This window comes from Homo sapiens, chromosome 19 (genome assembly GCF_000001405.40).
Source record: "Homo sapiens chromosome 19, GRCh38.p14 Primary Assembly".
NCBI classification, from domain to species: domain Eukaryota; kingdom Metazoa; phylum Chordata; class Mammalia; order Primates; family Hominidae; genus Homo; species Homo sapiens.
The window spans coordinates 35,230,611-35,247,835 of record NC_000019.10 but is presented as its reverse complement, the minus strand read 5'-3'; the positions used below and the strand labels follow the sequence as shown (position 1 = coordinate 35,247,835).

At 41.3% G+C, this 17,225-nt stretch overlaps 1 pseudogene, besides 1 other annotated feature; it reads left to right on the top strand.

Moving 5' to 3' along the window:
- Window positions 81-250: an enhancer, noted in NCBI's record as "active region_14461". NCBI's record gives its function as "activates an Ori minimal core promoter by ATAC-STARR-seq in GM12878 lymphoblastoid cells {active_cell/tissue: GM12878}" and the evidence as "EXISTENCE:reporter gene assay evidence [ECO:0000049][PMID:35858748]".
- On the top strand, window positions 14,833-15,546 carry FAM187B2P (family with sequence similarity 187 member B2, pseudogene; annotated as a pseudogene).

Here is a 17,225-nt window from a genome sequence, read left to right as displayed (position 1 = left end):
GTGCTTTGTTCTACTGGCCCTGTTAAAACTCAAGCCAGATCACGTCCACCTGCTCACAGCCCTCCTGTGGCTCCTCCTCACTCTCAGCAGAAACTGACCTTCCCCCTCTTATCTCACCTCCTCCCACTCTCTCTGGCTTACTCAGCTTCGGACACCCTGGCCTCCTCGCTGTTTCCAACTATACTTCTCACAGTCCTCAGAGCCATCGCCCGTGCTACTCCCTCTGCCAGAACACCCTTCCCGCAGATGTCCACATGATCTTCCTCCTCCTGTAGGACACCATTGCAGTGACACCTTCCCTGGCCACTTTTTATAAAATTTCAACCCGTTCACGTCCCTTCATCGTTTAAAAAAATATTTTTATGATAAAATATGCAAACTATAATATTTATCGCTTTAACCACTTCAAGTGTAAAATTCAGTGGCATTAAGTATATTCACAATGTCGTGTACCAATCACCACTCTTTATCCCCGAAACTGTTTCATCATCCCCAACATAAACTCTGTGACCATTAAACAGTAACTCCCCATTCCCTGCTACCTGTGCCCCTAGTAATTTCTATTCTACTTTGCTTACCAAATTGCCCATTCTAGGTGCCTCATATAAGTGGAATCGTCTAACATTTGTCCTGTGTCTAGTTTATTTCACAAAGAATAATGTTTTCAAGGTCCATCCATGTTGTAGTATGTCGAAGCCATGTAGCATGCAGTAAGATCAAAATTTCTTTTTACAGCGGACTAGTGTACCATTGTATGTATATGCTACGTTTTATTTATCCATTCATTTGTGGATGGACCTAGGTTGTTTCTACCTTTTGACTATTGTAAATAGTGCAGCTGTGAACACTGGTGTACAAATATCTGCTTTCATTTCTTTTGAATATATGCCTAAGAATGGAATTGCTGGGTGACTTGGTAGTTCTATTTTTAACCTTTTGAGGAACTGCCAAACTGTTTTCCCCAATGACTGCACTATTGTACATTCCCACCAGCAATGCACGGAGGATTCCAATTTCTCCACATCCCCACCAAAACTTATTATCCATTTTCTTGATTATGGCCATCCTGGTTAGTGTGAAGTGGCATCTCATTGTGGTTGTAATCTGCATTTCCCCAATGACTAACGATGTTGAGCATATTTCCACGAATTTATTGTCCATTAGTATATCTTCTTTGGAGAAGTGTCTATTCAAGTACTTTGCCCATTTTTGAATTGGGTTGTTTGTTTTTTTGTTGTCAAGTTGTAGGAGTTCTATATATATTTTGAATATTAATCCCTTGTTAGATATATGATCTGCAAATATTTTCTTCCATTCTCCAGGTTTTTTCACTTTCTTGATAGTGTCCTTTGGTGCACAAAAGTTCTTAATTTGATGAAGTTCAATTTACCTACTATTTTTTCTTCCTTGTACTTTTGGTATCCTATTTATGCAGTTGTTGCCAAGTCCAATGTGATGAAGATTTTCAACAATATTTTCTTCTAAGAGTTTTATAGTTTTAACTCTTAAATTGAGTCTTTGAGCCACTTTATTTTATTTCATTTTATTTTTTGAGACTGAGTCTCACTTTGTCGCCCAGGTTGGAGTGCAGTGGTGTGATCTCCGCTTACTGCAACCTCCACCTGCCGGGTTCAACCGATTCTCATGCCTCAGCCTCCCGAGTATTTGGGATTACAGGTGCATGCCACCACACTGGGTTAATTTTTGTATTTTTAGAAGAGATGGGGTTTCACCATGTTGGCCAGGCTGGTCTCGAACTCCTGACCTCAAGTAATCTACCTGCCTTGGCTTCCCAAAGTGCTCACATAGGTGTGAGCCACTGCACCCGGCCTGGGCCATTTTAATTTTAGTATGTGGTAGAAGGGTCCAACTTCATTTTTTTGCATATGGATATTCAGTTTTCCCTCTACCATTTGTTGAAAACACTGTCCTTTTCCCATTAAGTGGTCTTGGCTTCCTTGTCAAAAATCAATTAATCATATATGTGAGGGTTTGTTTCTCGGTTCTGTATTCTATTTCATTGATCTATACGCCTATCCTTATGCAAGTACCATATGTTTTAATTACTATAGCTCTGTAGTAAGTTCACAGATGGAAAGTGTGAGTCCTCTAACTTTATTCTTCTCTTTCAGTATTGTTTTGGTTATTGGGGGCCCCTTAAAACTCCATATGAATTTGAGGATCTGCTTCCATTTCTTTGGGAAAAGACGTTGGAATTTTGATCAGCATTGTGTTGAATCTGTAGATTGTTTTGGGTAGTATTGACATTTTTAATGTTAAGTCTTTCTATCCATGAACACATCTTGCCATTTATGCCATTTATTTAGATACTTGTTAATTTATTTTATCAATCTTTTTTTTTTTTTTTTTTTTTTTTTGAGACTGAGTCTTGCTCTGTCACCCAGGCTGGAGTGCAGTGGCCCAATCTCAGCTCACTGCAAGCTCCGCCTCCCAGGTTCACGCCATTCTCCTGCCTCAGCCTCCTGAGTAGCTGGGACTACAGGCGCCCACCACCACGCCCGGCTAATTTTTTGTAGTTTTAGTAGAGATGGGGTTTCATCGTGTTAGCCAGGATGGTCTCGATCTCCTGACCTCGTGATCCGCCCGCCTCGGCCTTCCAAAGTGCTGGGATTACAGGCTTGAGCCACCGTGCCAGGCCTTATTTTAGCAATCTTTTGTCATTTTCAGTGTACAAGTCTTTCACCTCATTGGTTAGATTTATTCCTAAGTATTTAATTGTTTTAGATGCTGTTGTAAATGAAATTGTTTTCTCAATTTCCTCTTCGGATTGTTCAGTGCTGGTGCATAGAAACATGACTGATTTTTGTGTGTTGATCTGGTACCCTGCAACTTGTTTATTAACTGTAGTAGCTGTCTTGTGAATTCTTTTGGATTTTCTATACATAGATCGTGTCATCTGTGAATAGAGATAGTTTTACTGCTTTCTTTCCAATCTGAATGACTTTTATTTCCTTTTTCTGTCTGATAGCTCTGGGTGGAACTTCCAATACAGTGTTCAATAGCCATGGTGAAAATGGCCATCTTTGTCTTACTCCTGATCTTAGGGGGAAAGCTTTCAATCTTTCACCATTGAGTATGATGATAGCTGTGAGTTTTTCATAAATACCCTTTATCACATTGAGGAATTTTCCCTGTATGATTAGTTTTCTGTTTTTTTTTTTTTAATCATGAAGGTGTGTTGAATTTTGTCAAATACCTTTTCTGTATTAATTCAGATGATCATGTGTGTGTTTTTTACCTTCATTCTAATAATGTGATGTATTACATTGATTAATTTTCTTATGTTGAACCACCCTTGCATTCCTGCATAAATCATACTTGGATATTTGAGTAATCCTTTTAATATGCTAATGAACTTGATTTGCTAATTTTTTTGAGGATTTTTGTATCTATATTCATATGGGATATTAGTCTGTAATTTTCTTTTCTAGTGATTTCTTTATTTGGCTTTGGTATTATGGTAATACTGGCTGCACAGAATGAGTTAGAAAGTGTTTCCTTCTCTTCAATTTTTTGGAAGTTTGAAAATTATTTGTGTGAATTCTTCTTTAAATGTTTGGTTGAACTAACTCATGAAGCCATCTGGTTTAAGATTTTTCTTTGCTAGGTGGTTTAAAATTAGTGGTATTGCCACTTTCATTTCTGATTTTAGTTATTTGCGTCTTCTCTCTTTGGTGCTTCATCAGTCTCACCAAAGGTTTGCCAATTTTGTTAATCTTTTCAAAAAACCAACTTTTGGTTTTACAGATTTTTTTGTCTATTCTCTTTCTCTATTTTATGAGTTTCTGCTCTAGTCTCTATTATTTCCTTTCTTCTGCTGGCTTTGGGTTTTGTTTGCTCTACTTTTTCTAGTTCCATAAGATGTAAGTCAGGTTATTAATTTGAGATAGTTATTCTTTTTACATGGGCATTAATAGCTATTAATTTCCCTCTGAGCACTGTTTTTGGGGCATCTCATAAGTTTGGTATATTTTGTTTTCTTTCCTACTTGTCCCTAAGTATTTTCTGATTTCCTTTGTGATTTCTTCTTTGACCTGTTGGTTGTTTAAGAGAATGTTGTTTAATTTTCACATATTTGTGAATTTTCATTTTTCCTTCTATTATTGATTTCTAACTTTATCTTGTTGTGATCAAAGAAAAGAGTTCGTTTGATAGGTATTTTAAAATCTACTGAGATTTAACTTATGCCTCAACATGTCATCTATCATAGAGAATGTCTCATGTGTACTTGGATTTTTTTTTTAATTGGGTGAGTGTTCCATATGTATCTGTTAGGTCTAGTTGGTTTTTGTGTTGTTCAAGTCCACTATATTTTTACTTACTTTCTGTCTGTGTGTTCTATCCATTATTGAAAGTGGGATTTTGAACTCTCCAACTATTATGGTAGAACTGTGTATTTCTCCTTTGAGTCTATCAATTTTTGCTTTATATTTTGAGGTCTGTTATTAGGTGCAGAAATGTTTATAACTGTTACATCTTATTGAGATATTTAACTTTTTATTAATTTGTAATGTCTGTCTTGTCTCTTGTAAATTGTTTTGATTTAAAGTCTATTTTGTCTGATATTCGCATAGCCACTCAAGCTATCTTTTGGTTACTGTTTGCATGGAATATCATTTTCCATATCTTTTGCTTTGAACATATTCGTGCCTTTGGATCTAACATGAATCCTTTATAGACAGCGTATTGTTGGGTGGTTTTTAAAAATACATTCTGGAAATCTCCATCTTGATTTAAAGAAATGACTATCAGCAAAATTACTGCCATTTTGCTACTTGTTTTCTATATACCTTATGGCTTTTTGTCCCTCATTTTCTCCATTACTGTTTATGTTTAATTTTTTTTTTGTAGCGAAATGTTTTGATTCTCTTTTCATTTCCAGTTGTGTATATTTTGTAGCTTTTTATTTTGTGGTTATAGAGGAGATTATATTATATATAAAACCTAAAATTATAATACTCCAATTTACATTTATACCAGCTTAATTTCGATAGTATATATATAAACTCTGCTCTTATATAGCTCTGTCACTCCTTTTCCTTTTTCTTTCTTTTTTTTTTTTTTTGAGATGGAGCCTTGCTCTGTCACCCAGGCTGGAGTGCAATGGTGCAATCTTGGCTCACTGCAGCCTCTGCCACCTGGGTTCAAGCAATTCTGCTGCCTCTGCCGCCCCAGTAGCTGGGATTACAGGTGTCTGCCACCATGCTCGGCTAATTTTATTTTTCTATTTTTAGTAGAGATGAGATTTCGCCATGTTGGCCAGGCTGCTCTTGAACTCCTGACCTCAGGTACCTCAAGTGATCCACCTGCCTCTGCCTCCCAAAGTGCTGGGATTACAGGCATGAGCCACCATACCTGGCCTCTGTCATTCCTTTTCTGTTGTCAGTGTCACAAATCACACCTATATACATTGTTTTCCCAATAATGAAGATTAATAATTGTTTTCATCCATTTTATTTTATATCATGTAGACAATAAAAAGTGAAATTATAAACTCAAATTATGATAACAGTAGCTTTTATAATTGCTCATGTATTTACCTTTAGCAGAGATTTTAATTTTTTTCTTCATGTCTTCAAATTACTGTCTGCACTCTTTCATTTCAACCTGAAGGACTTCGTTTAGCATTTCTAGTAGGGAAGGACTAGTGGTAATGAACTCCCTCAGCTTTTGTTTATCCAGGAATATCTGAACTTCTTCCTCATTGTTGGAGGATAGATTGGGTAGCTATAGAATTCTTGGTTGATAGGTCTTTTTTTTCTTCTTCTTCTTTTGGCATGTCAAGTGTATTAACCCACTGCCTTTGGCATCCAAGGTTTCTAATGATAAATCTGCCAATAATCTTATTGAGGATTTCTTGAATGTAACAAGTTGCTTCTCTCTTGCTGCTTTCAAGATTGTTTCTTTGGCTTTGGCTTTTTACAGTTTGATTATAATGTGTCTCAGCTTGAATCTCTGGGTTTTTCATACTTGGAGTTTATTGAGTTTTTAGATTTGTTGATTCATGTCTATCATCAAATTTGGGAAGTTTTCAATCTTATTTCTTAAAATTACAATTCTTTCTTCCTCTTTTTCTCTCTCTTCTCCTTCTGGACCTCCCATAATATGTATGTTGGTCTCCTCTGTGGTGTCCCACAGATCCTTTAGGCTCTGTTCAGCTTTCTTTAATCTTTTTTCTTCCTGTCCCTCAGACTCAATAAATTTTCCTGTCACCAAGTTTGCTGATTTTTCTTCTGCCTGCTCAAATCTGTTTTTGAGCCCCTTCAGTGAATTTTTTATTTCAGTTAATTGTATTTTTAGCTCCAGAATTTTCCTTTTGGTTCCTTTTTGCATTTTCTGTCTTTTTGCTGATATTCTTCTTTTGTTCATACATCATTTTTCTGTCTTCGTCTATGTCTCCTTTAGCTGTTTGAGCATCTTTGAGACAGTTATTTATGTCTTTGTCTAGTAAGTCTACCACCTGGGCTTCCTCAGGTATTGTTTATTTATTTTTTCTTTGAATGGGCCATACTCTCTTGTTTCTTTGTATGTATGTCTTGTGACTTTTTTGTTGAAAATGGACATTTGAATCTTACAATGTGCTAACTCTGGAAATCAGCTTTTCCCCATTCCCCAGGGTTTGCTGGTTTTTTTGTTTGTTTATTGTTATAAGATGTATCTGTGCTAGAATCAACCTAAAATGAAAGCTTATGATCATCTTAGGTCTTTTCTGAATTTGCATCTTTCCCTGAGCTTGTGCAGTGACTTTCTAAATTCCCTTGTATGCACAGTTGCTTTTGAATATCCTAATCCCTAAATGTCCACCTTCCAAAGGGAACAAAAGGGGAGAAAATCCAGTGGCTATCCCTTTATACCTTCTGGAAGCCAGTTCAGCTGGTGGGGATTAAGCCAATCATGGCCCACCCCCTGTGTCTGCACAACCATGATCAGAAGTAGTAATCCAGAGTCCCAACACAGAACTCTGATATTTGGAGGATGAGTCCATATTGCTAACCCCTAGATAATAATACTGGCTGATACTTTATAGATAACATCTCATCAAATCCACACAAGAGCACTATGTGGCCAGTACAATTAAAATCCTTTGAAAATAAGGAAACGGAGGGTCACAGAGTGAAAGCCATTTGATCAGTCTTTCATTGCTGGAAGAGACTTCACTGAAGTTCCTCATCTATGTAAGAAAGAGAAAGCAGCCTCTAACAGCTGGGAGCTGGCCTAACAGTAACAACTGGGTCTTGGTGTTGCTAGCAGCTTGTCTAGAATGCACTGTTAGGTCATGATGTTCTCCTGTTGAAGGTGAACAATGTTCACAGAACAACAACAACAAAGGCCTGTCTGTGACTCTGATGCATCTAGATAGAAACAAGACTGCTCTGTAATTATGCCTGCACAGAGACAAAACAGGAACACTGTCCAAACCACAAAATATCAAGCATCCCCTTCTCTCAGCTGATCTGAATGGCTGCTGTTTCTTTACCAATTTCAGTTTTAGCTTTGCTCCGTTCTTCTCACCTTCTAGAAAAGATAGAATTGGTTACACTCGTGGTGGGCAAAGGACATGACCAAACACTTTTCAAAAGAAAATATACATCTGGCCAAGAATCATATAAAAAAGCTCAACATCACTAATCATTAGTGAAACGCAAATCAAAACCACCATGAGATACCATCTCACATCAGTCAGAATGGCTATTATTAAAAAGTCAAAAAACAACATGCTGGCGAGGTTGCAGAGAAAAAGGAATGCTTACACACTGTTGGTGGGAGTGTTAATTAGCATGTAAGACAGTGTGGCAATTCCTCAAAGACCTAAAAACAGAACTACCATTCAACCTAACAAGCCCATTACTGGGTATACACCCAAAGAAATATAAATTGTTCTATCATAAAGACACATGCACACTTATATTCATTGCAGCACTATTCACAATAGCAAAGACATAGGATCAACCTAAATGTCCATCAATGGTAGACTGGATTAAAAAAATGTGGTACATATACACTATGGAATACTATGCAGCCATAAAAAAGAATGAAATCATGCCCTTTGCAGGAACAAGAATGGAGCTGAAGGTCATTATCCTTAGCAAACTAATGCAGAAAGAGAAAACTAAATACCGCATGTTCTCCCTTATAAGTGGAATCTAAATGATGAGAACACAAATACATAAAGGGGAACAACACACACTGGAGCCTATCAGAGGGTAGAGTGTGGGAGGAGGGAGAGGATCAGGAAAAATAGCTAAGGGGTACTAGGCTTAATACCTGGGTGATGAAATTATATGTACAACAAACCCCCATGATATAAATTTACCTCTATAAGAAACCTGCACACATACCCCTGAACTTAAAATCAAAAGTTTGAAAAAAAAGAATTGGTTACACTTTTTGATAGCACCCAACCCAAAGCAAATCCCCACTTCTTTGAATCCTTCCCACAATCATACAACACAGCCCAAATTCTGTTAGTCTTCTCTGACACCTTCCTGAGACACCACACCATTCCCCATGGTGTACATCTGCCCTCACTGCAGCAAGTCAAAAAACCTAACTTTGTTCATAGGTGCATGCCTGATTGTCTTTGGCTGATGGGTATTCACATAGCAAACCTGTTCCCACCTCAAGACCTTTGCATGTGCGGTGTGCTTAGTTCAGACCTTGCTTTCTCTGGATTTTTTTTTTTTTTTTTTTTTTTTTTTGAGACAGAGTCTCACTCTGTCACCCAGGCTAGAATGCAGTGGCACAATCTCAGCTCACTACAACCTCCACCTCCCAGGTTGAAGCAATTCTCCTGTCTCAGCCTTCTGAGTAGCTGGGATTATAGGCGTGCACCACCACACCTGGATAATTTTTGTATCTTTAGTAGAGATGGGGTTTCACCATGTTGGCCAGGCTGGTCTTGAACTCATGATCTCAGGTGCTCCACTTGCCTCAGCCTCCCAAAGTGCTGGGATCACAGGCATGAGCCGCTGTGTGAATCTTCATAACCATCTTATATAGGTCTGCTCAAATGTCACTTCTTCAGAGAAGCCTTCTCTTCTCACCTACCTCTCTCCCCACAGGCTGGGCATGGTGTCCCACACCTGTAATCCCAGTACTTTGGGAGGCTGAGACAGGAGGATAGTTTGAGGCTGTAAGTTTAAGACAAGCCTCTACATGGTGTATACATTTTCTTTATCCAGTCTACCATCTCTACCAAAAATTTTAAAAATTAGCTAGGCATGGTGGCACGTCCCTGTAGTCCTAGCTACTTAGGAGGCTGAGACAGGAGAATCACTTGAACCCAGGAGTTTCAGGCTGCAGTGAGCTATGATTACACCACTGCACTCCAGCCTGGGTGACAGAATGAGACCCTGTCTCAAAACAAATGAATAAATAAAAATAAAATAGTCTCTATATTAGTTGGCTAGGGCTGCCATAACAAACACCAGAGACTGGGTGGTTTAAACAACAGAAATTTATTTCTTCGCAATTCTGTAAGCTAGAAGTCCAAAATCAAGGTGTTGGCAGGTTTGGTTTCATTCTGAGGCCTTTCTTCTTGGTGTGCAGATGGTTCCCTTTTCACTATGTCCTCACATGGTCATCCCTCTGCCTGGGTTCTAATTCCCTCATCTTTTAAGGGCACTAGTCATATTGGATTAGAACCCACTCTAACAACCCTATTTTAACTTAATTACCTCTTTAAAAGCCCTGTTTCCCAATACAGTCATATTCTGAGGTATTGGGGGTCAGTGTTTCAACATATGAACTTGTGGGGTCATAATTCATCCCCTAATAGTCTCCATCCCCAATCTCTCTTTGCGCCTTCTTTTTTTCTTCAAAGCATTTACCATGACCTGATGTTTTATTAGTCATTTATTTGTTTACCATCTGTGTATTAGTCTATTTGCTTGCTACTATGAAGAAATATCTGAGACTGGGTAATTTCTAAAGAAAAAGATGTTTAATGGACTCAGAGCTGCACATGGCTGGGGAGGCCTCATAATCATGGCAGAAGGCAAAGGAGGAGCAAAGGCGTGTCTTACATGGCGGCAGGCAAGCAACTGTGTGTAGGGGAACTGCCCTTTATAAAACCATCAGATCTCACCAGGCATGGTGGCTCATGCCTGTAATCCCAGCACTTTGGGAGGCCGAGGCAGGTGGATCATTTGAGGTCAGGAGCTCAAGACCAGCCTGGCCAACATGGTGAAACCCCCTCTCTACTAAAAATATGAAAATTAGCTGGGCATGGTGGTGCACATCTGTAATTCCAGCTACTCAGGAGGCTGAGGCACAAGAATCGCTTGAACCAGGGAGGCAGAGGTTGCTGTCAGCTGAGATCGTGCCACTGCACTTCAGCCTGGGCAGCAGCAGAGTGAGACTCTCCCTCAAAAAAAAAAAAAAAAAAAAAAGAAAGAAAGAAAGAAAGAAAAAAACCATCAGATCTTGTGAGACTTATTCACTATCATGAGAATAGCATGGGAAAAACCTGCTCTCATGATTCAATTACCTCCCATCGGGTCCTTCCCATGACACGTGGGGATTATGAGAGCTACAATATGAGATGAGGTTTGGGTGGGGACACAGCCAAACCATATCACTGACCAAAGCATTCAATTGCCAGTTCATGATTTGCTATACTCCCTTATCCTGCCATAGCAACTAATGATGTTGCAGATGGTACCACCTCTGTTAGCCACAGTATCTGAAGGGACTTTGTGGAGTATAGCTCTCCCCAGCCAAATTTGGACATGTCGCATGAAAAAAAATTTTATTAAGCCACTAAGATTTTAGAATCCTTTGTTACATAGCATAACTTAACCTATCCTGACTAATACATCCCCACTAGGATGTAAGCTCCAAGAGGTCAGGGACTTAGCCTGGATCCTTGGTGTCTGGTGCAAGGTGGATGAGTGATATGGTTTGGTTTTGTGTCCCCGCCCAAGTCTCATCTTGAATTGTAATCCCCACAGGTCAAGGGAGGGACCCAGTGGAAGGTAATTGGATTATGGGAGTGGTTTCTCCCGTGCAGTGAGGGAGTTCTCATGAGATCTGATGCTTTAAAAGTAGCTGGCAGTTCCCTAATTGCTGTCTCTTTGCTGCCACCTTGTGAAGGTGCCTGCTTCCCTTTCGCCTTGCACCATGATTGGAAGTTTCCTGAGGCCTCCCCAGCCATGCAGAACTGTGAGTCAATTAATCTTCTTTTCCTTATAAATTTACCAGTCTCCAGTAGTTCTGGCCGGGTGCTGTGGCTCACATCTGTATTCCCAGCACTTTGGGAGGCCGAGGCGGGCAGATCACTTGAGGTCAGGAGTTCAAGACCAGCCTGGTCAACATGGTGAAACCCCGTCTCTACTAAAAATACAAAAATCAGCTGGGCATGGTGGTACATGCCTGTAATCCCACCTACTTGGGAGGCTGAGGGAAGAGAATTGCTTGAACCTGGGAGGCAAAGGCTGTAGTGAACCAAGATTGCACCACCGCACTCCAGCCTGGGGGCTAGAGAGTGAGACTCTGTCTCAAAAAAAAAAAAAAAGGAAAGTCTCAGCAACTTGCCTGGGGTCATGTGGCTCACACAGTGCCTGGCACAATTCTGGTACAACTAATATTTTCCCATCAGTCAATGCTGTGGAAGACATGGTTGGCTACACCAAATCAGCATTCTTTTCTACAACTCCCCTGCATACAAAACCCTGATTTTGTCTGGGTCTTCAGTGGCTTCTGCTAAGAAAAAGCTGACCTTACCCAATCCTAGGCAACAAATTCTAATTGGTTTAAGCCAACGATGTAAGCTTCATTTATTTTCAGAGATTGGTTTAGACCTGGGCATGGGCCCCAATCCTGGCCAGTAGAACTTTAGGGGAGAGCTGATGTGAGGATTTTGGAAATGGTTTTAACTCTGTGATATAAAGGAGAACACCAGAGGAAAAATCCCTTGTAATAGACATTAGCCATGGAAATCATTACTGCCATTTGCCAAAAGATTCCTGGAAATAGTAGAGTTCCATTTTTTTTTTTTTTTTTTTGAGATGGAGTCTTGCTCTGTCGCCCAGGCTGGAGTGCAGTGGCGCGATCTCGGCTCACTGCAAGCTCCGCCTCCCAGGTTCACGCCATTCTGCTGCCTCAGCCTCCCCAGCAGCTGGGACTACAGGTGCACACCGCCACGCCCGGCGAATTTTTTTGTATCTTTAATAGAGATGGGGTTTCACGGTGTTAGCCAGGATGGTCTCGATCTCCTGACCTCGTGATCCGCCGCCTCAGCCTCCCAAAGTGCTGGGATTACAGGCGTGAGGCACGGCGCCCAGCTAGAGTTCAATTTCTTTTGTTGGCTTGGTGGATTGGTGGTGCCATGTAGCTGTTTCTAGCCAATGGTTTGTGAGCAAGCGACATGACATGTGTTACTTAAGGGCAAAGCATTTAATGTAGACCCAAAATCTTACAGAGAGCTCTTTCTTTCTCCTTGGAAGAAACTGAAAATGTTTGAGATGGCAGTTGCGCCATCACCCTGGATTCCTGAGTGATTCCAATACCAATGCACAATGAGTAAAAAGTAAACCTTAGTTGTTTTATGTGGTTGAGATTTGGGGGGAATTTTTTTTTTTTTTTTTTTAGATGAAGTCTTGCTCTGTCACCCAGGCTGGAGTGCAGTGGCATGATCTCAGCTCACTGCAACATCCACCTCCCGGGTTCAAGTGATCTTCCTGCCTTAGCCTCCCAAGTAGCTGGGACTTCAGGTGCATGCCACCACACCTGGCTAATTTGTGTATTTTTAGTAAAGACAGGGTTTTGTCATTTTTTGTATTTTTAGTAGAGACAGGGTTGGCTAGGTTGGTCTCAAACTCCTGACCTCAGGTGATCTGCCCTCCTTAGCCTCCCAAAGTGCTGGGATTACAGGCGTGAGCCACCACACCTGGCTGGAAGTTTATTATAGTAGCAAATAACTTATCTAGATTGATACCAAAATAGTATCAGGAGTAGGGTGCTGAGGTAATCAAAAATAAAAAGACAGCATTGGCTTAGATACCTTTGGGACTAAGACACTTATTTGAAACCAGAAGGATGGAGGCTGTTGCCTGAGATACTCTGGAAGGCAGATAATGTATTTAATGGACTTGTAGCTTTCAAGGAAGCTGCTGGAATATAAGATGTTAGCAGTATAAGTTGGCCAAAGTTAGCTAAAAATTGAGAAGGGCTTTGAGAGATAAAGTCCAATTAGAATTCAGCTTTTGACAAGGATAAAATCAAAAGTATAAGCCTAGGTAAATAATTATTACCCATTGTTTAAAAATTCTCTGAATGAATTAAGATACTACCAGAAAACGCTTTCAGGTGGACAAATGTCTCCATGAAAGAGAGTTAAGAGATATAGCTCGCCAAGGATGGCTGATAGAGTTTAAGGTACCTGAAATGAGAAAGAGACAGAAAGAGAGAGAGGATAAGAGCATCTTTTTTTTTTTTTTTTTTAGACAGAGTCTTGTGCTGTTGCCCAGGCTGGAGTGCAGTGGTGTGATCTTGGCTCACTGCAACCTCCATCTCCCAGGTTCAAGCAATTCTCCTGCCTCAGCCTGCTATGTAGCTGGGATTACAGGAGCCCACCACCACACCTGGCTAATTTTTGTATTTTTAGGAGAGACAGGGTTTCACCATGTTGCCCAGGCTGGTCTCGAACTCCTGGCTTCAAGCAATCCTCCCACCTTGGCCTCCCAAAGTGCTGAGATTACAGGCGTGAGCCACCGAGCCCAGCCTGAGAACATCTCGAACAGAACTACGGCTATGTGTGTGTTTTTGTTTGTTTGTTTGTTTGTTTGTTTACATATTTAGTTGACTAGAGGCTTATAAGAACCGTAGGTCCCAAACTGTGGGAGATAGAAAGCAGGCTGAGTAAACTGCTGTTGTCTCAAGGAGGGCACATCTTCAGATGTAGCCAAGGAGAATATGAGAAAAGGAGATATTTCCCTGGAGAGTGAGACATGACCCACAGAGAACAATGATTTGGGAATCCCCCTACCCTCCCCACACACAACAAGGAGCTGCTTCGGTGCTAGTTAAGGAATCTTTCCCATCTACAAGATAGGGGGTCCTTGTAATGTTTTCCCACTGGATTGCAGAAGTGGTACAGAGCAGTGATTTCTGTGTGTCTTCCCTTTCTCTCTCTCTCTTTCTTTTCTTTTTCTCTCTCTCTCTTTCTTTCTTCTTTCTCTTTTTTTTTTTTTGAGACAGAGTCTTTCTCTGTTGTCCAGGCTGGAGTGCAGTGGTGGATCTCAGCTCACTGCAACCTCTGCCTCCCGGGTTCAAGAGATTCTCCTGCCTCAGCCTCTCAAGCAGCTGGGAATACAGGCATGCACCACCACACCTGGCTAATTTTTGTATTTTTAATAGAGACGGGGTTAGACGGGGTTTCACCATGTTGGTCAGGCTGGTCTTGAACTCCTGGCCTCAGGTGATCCACCGGCCTCAGCCTCCCAAAGTGTGCTGGGATTACAGGTGTGAGCCACTGGGCCCTGCCTCTTCTTCCACTTTCTGATGGTCATAAAGTCATTTTGTCCCATTCCATCATTATATATTGGGTATGTGGAGGGCCAATAATTTGCCTTTGTAGTTCGTTTGTTCTGATTTAAGCTCACCCATTTTGTTTCCTGCCTAGCTCATGTGGATATTTGACCTTCGACCCTACAACCTATGACAAGCCATTTGATGACACGAACTGAATTGTACTCCTGGAAGCACAGTGGATCAAGTTTCATTCCATTGCCTAGGCTGATCCTCGAGTTTTGTGAGTGACTTCACAATGGCCAGGGAGTTCCTAGCCTCCTTCTACAGCCTTGGTCCACTATGCTGGACACCCTGTGGCTGCTTAGCCTTTCTTGCCCCACTCTGTGAGCCTAGATGTTAATCAGCTGTGCCTACAAGGACCTTTGCCAGCGAGCCCTACTCTCAGGCAGTGATGCTGTCCTGAAGTGTGACCATCCCATGGCACTCTGGTACTTCTCTTCCATTCTTGGGGAAGATCCTTCTCTGCTTAATTCAATGCCTGACATAAGGAAACTGCCTGGGGGTAGCCTTCAATTGACCAACCCTCAGCCCTCCCAGACTGGCCTCTATCGCTGCCAGGGCAATGATGATACCCTCATGGTACAATACGAGATCGACTTCCAGGTTGTCACCACCCTTCATGTTACGCACAAGAGCCTGGACCAAAAGTCCCTGCAGAATGAGACCCTGATCCTGGATGGCAAGGTACTCATCTTTACCCACTGGGACCCCCGGCAGGACTGTAACCGCTGTGGGGAACTGGGTGAGTGCAGACGCCTGGGGTACTGCTACATTGAGGAGCCCGTGGAAAAACCTATGCCCTGCCAGCTGTATCTGAGAGATGAGAAGATGCAATTCAGCCGCATGCGGCCCGAACTGCAGGTGGAAGCCTGCCACGTACCCTGCAACCCCGTCAAGGAAATTCACTAGCCATACCTCATCTTTGATTTTTACCAGCCTGGCAAGTGGATGAACAACAGGTGGCTCACCTGCCCCTTGGCCTCCATCTACAGGTGACAGGACCAGGGCCGTAGCCCTGCCCTTGACCCTCACCCAGACTTTGTTTTCTGTGTTCACCTGGGCTCATGGGTTACCTTCCAACAGAAAACCGGGCTCCGTCTCCCAGCCCATAAGCCTTCATGTTGGTTCTGCTAAGGAAAAGGTCTCCTCACTGGCTTGCTGAGATGCGCATGCAGGAAGAATTCCCTGGTGTTTCCTCTGAGTGTGCCCTGGGCAGGTGATGTTAGGGACACAGCAATGACCTAGTTCTTGTCTGCACAGGCTTCTGATATTCAGGGGGAGGCCAAATGTAGAATCTAGAGACCGAGCTACTCAGGCCCATGGGCTCATGACAATGTAGACACTGATGTTTCTGTCTCCTGATTGGACCCTGGATACAATTTATCTATCCATCCTTGTCCCAATGCCACAGTGTCTTTGGTTTTCTTTTTTTTTTTTCCTTTTATTTGTTTATTTATTTTTGAGATGGAGTCTCCCTCTGTTGCCCAGGCTGAAGTGCAATGGCGCAATCTCAGCTTACTGCAACCTCCATCTCCCAAATTCAAGCGATTCTCCTGCCTCAGCCTCCCAAGTAGCTGGGATTGCAGGCATCCGCAACCATGCCCGGCTAATTCTTATATTTTTAGTAGAGAAGGGGTTGGCCAGGCTGGTTTTGAACCCCTGACCTCAAGTGATTCTGCCCTCCTTGGCCTCCCAAGTGCTGAGATTACAGGCACAAGCCACTGCACCCAGCCCACAGTGTCTTTTTATACCTTTCAATAAGTCACAATATGTGGTAGTGTTTCCCAACTTTGTTCTTCAAGATTGTCTTGGTTATTCTTGGCCCATTATATACAAATTTTGGAATCGGTTTGTAGTTTCCACCCCAAAACTCTTATTTTTTTTTAATTGGGACTTTATTGAATCTAAAGATAAATTTGGGGTAAATCAATATATATTCAATATTTAGTCTTCCAATCCGTGAATGTGGCAAATACTTCCATTGTTTAGTCTTTCTTTAATTTCTCCCAATAATGTGAAGTTATTAATGTAGAGGACTCACATATCTTTTATTATATTTATTCCTAGGTATTTAATTTTTTCATACTATCCTATAGTAATCTTTTAAGTTTCATCTTTTAATTCTTTGTTGCTGGTATATAAATCATATTTAATATATGACCTTATATCTAATTTTTTGCTTGTATCTTACCTCCAGTAAAATGCTGAATGGAAAAGTTGATGGCAGAAATACTTGTGTTATTCTTAGTATTTTACTATGAAGTATAATTTAGCCCTAGGTGTTTTTGTTTGTTTGTTTGTTTTTTGTTTTTTTTTTGAGACAGGGTCTCACTCTGTTGCCCAGGCTGGAGTGCAATGGCGCAATCTCAGTTCACTGCAACCTTCGCCTCCTGGGTTCAAATGATTCTCCTGCCTCAGCCTCCCAAGTAGCTGGGACTACAGGCACCCACCATCACACCCGGCTAATTTTTGTATTTTTAGTAGAGATAGGGTTTCGCCATGTTACCCTAACTGGTCTCGAACTCCTGACTTCAGGTGATCCACCCGCCTCGGCCTTCCAAAGTGCTGGGATTACAGGTGTGAGCCACTGTACCCGGCCTGTCCTAGGTTTTTAATAGAAACACTTTATCTTCTTAGAAAATTTCCTTTTGTTCCTAGTTTGCCAAAAGTTT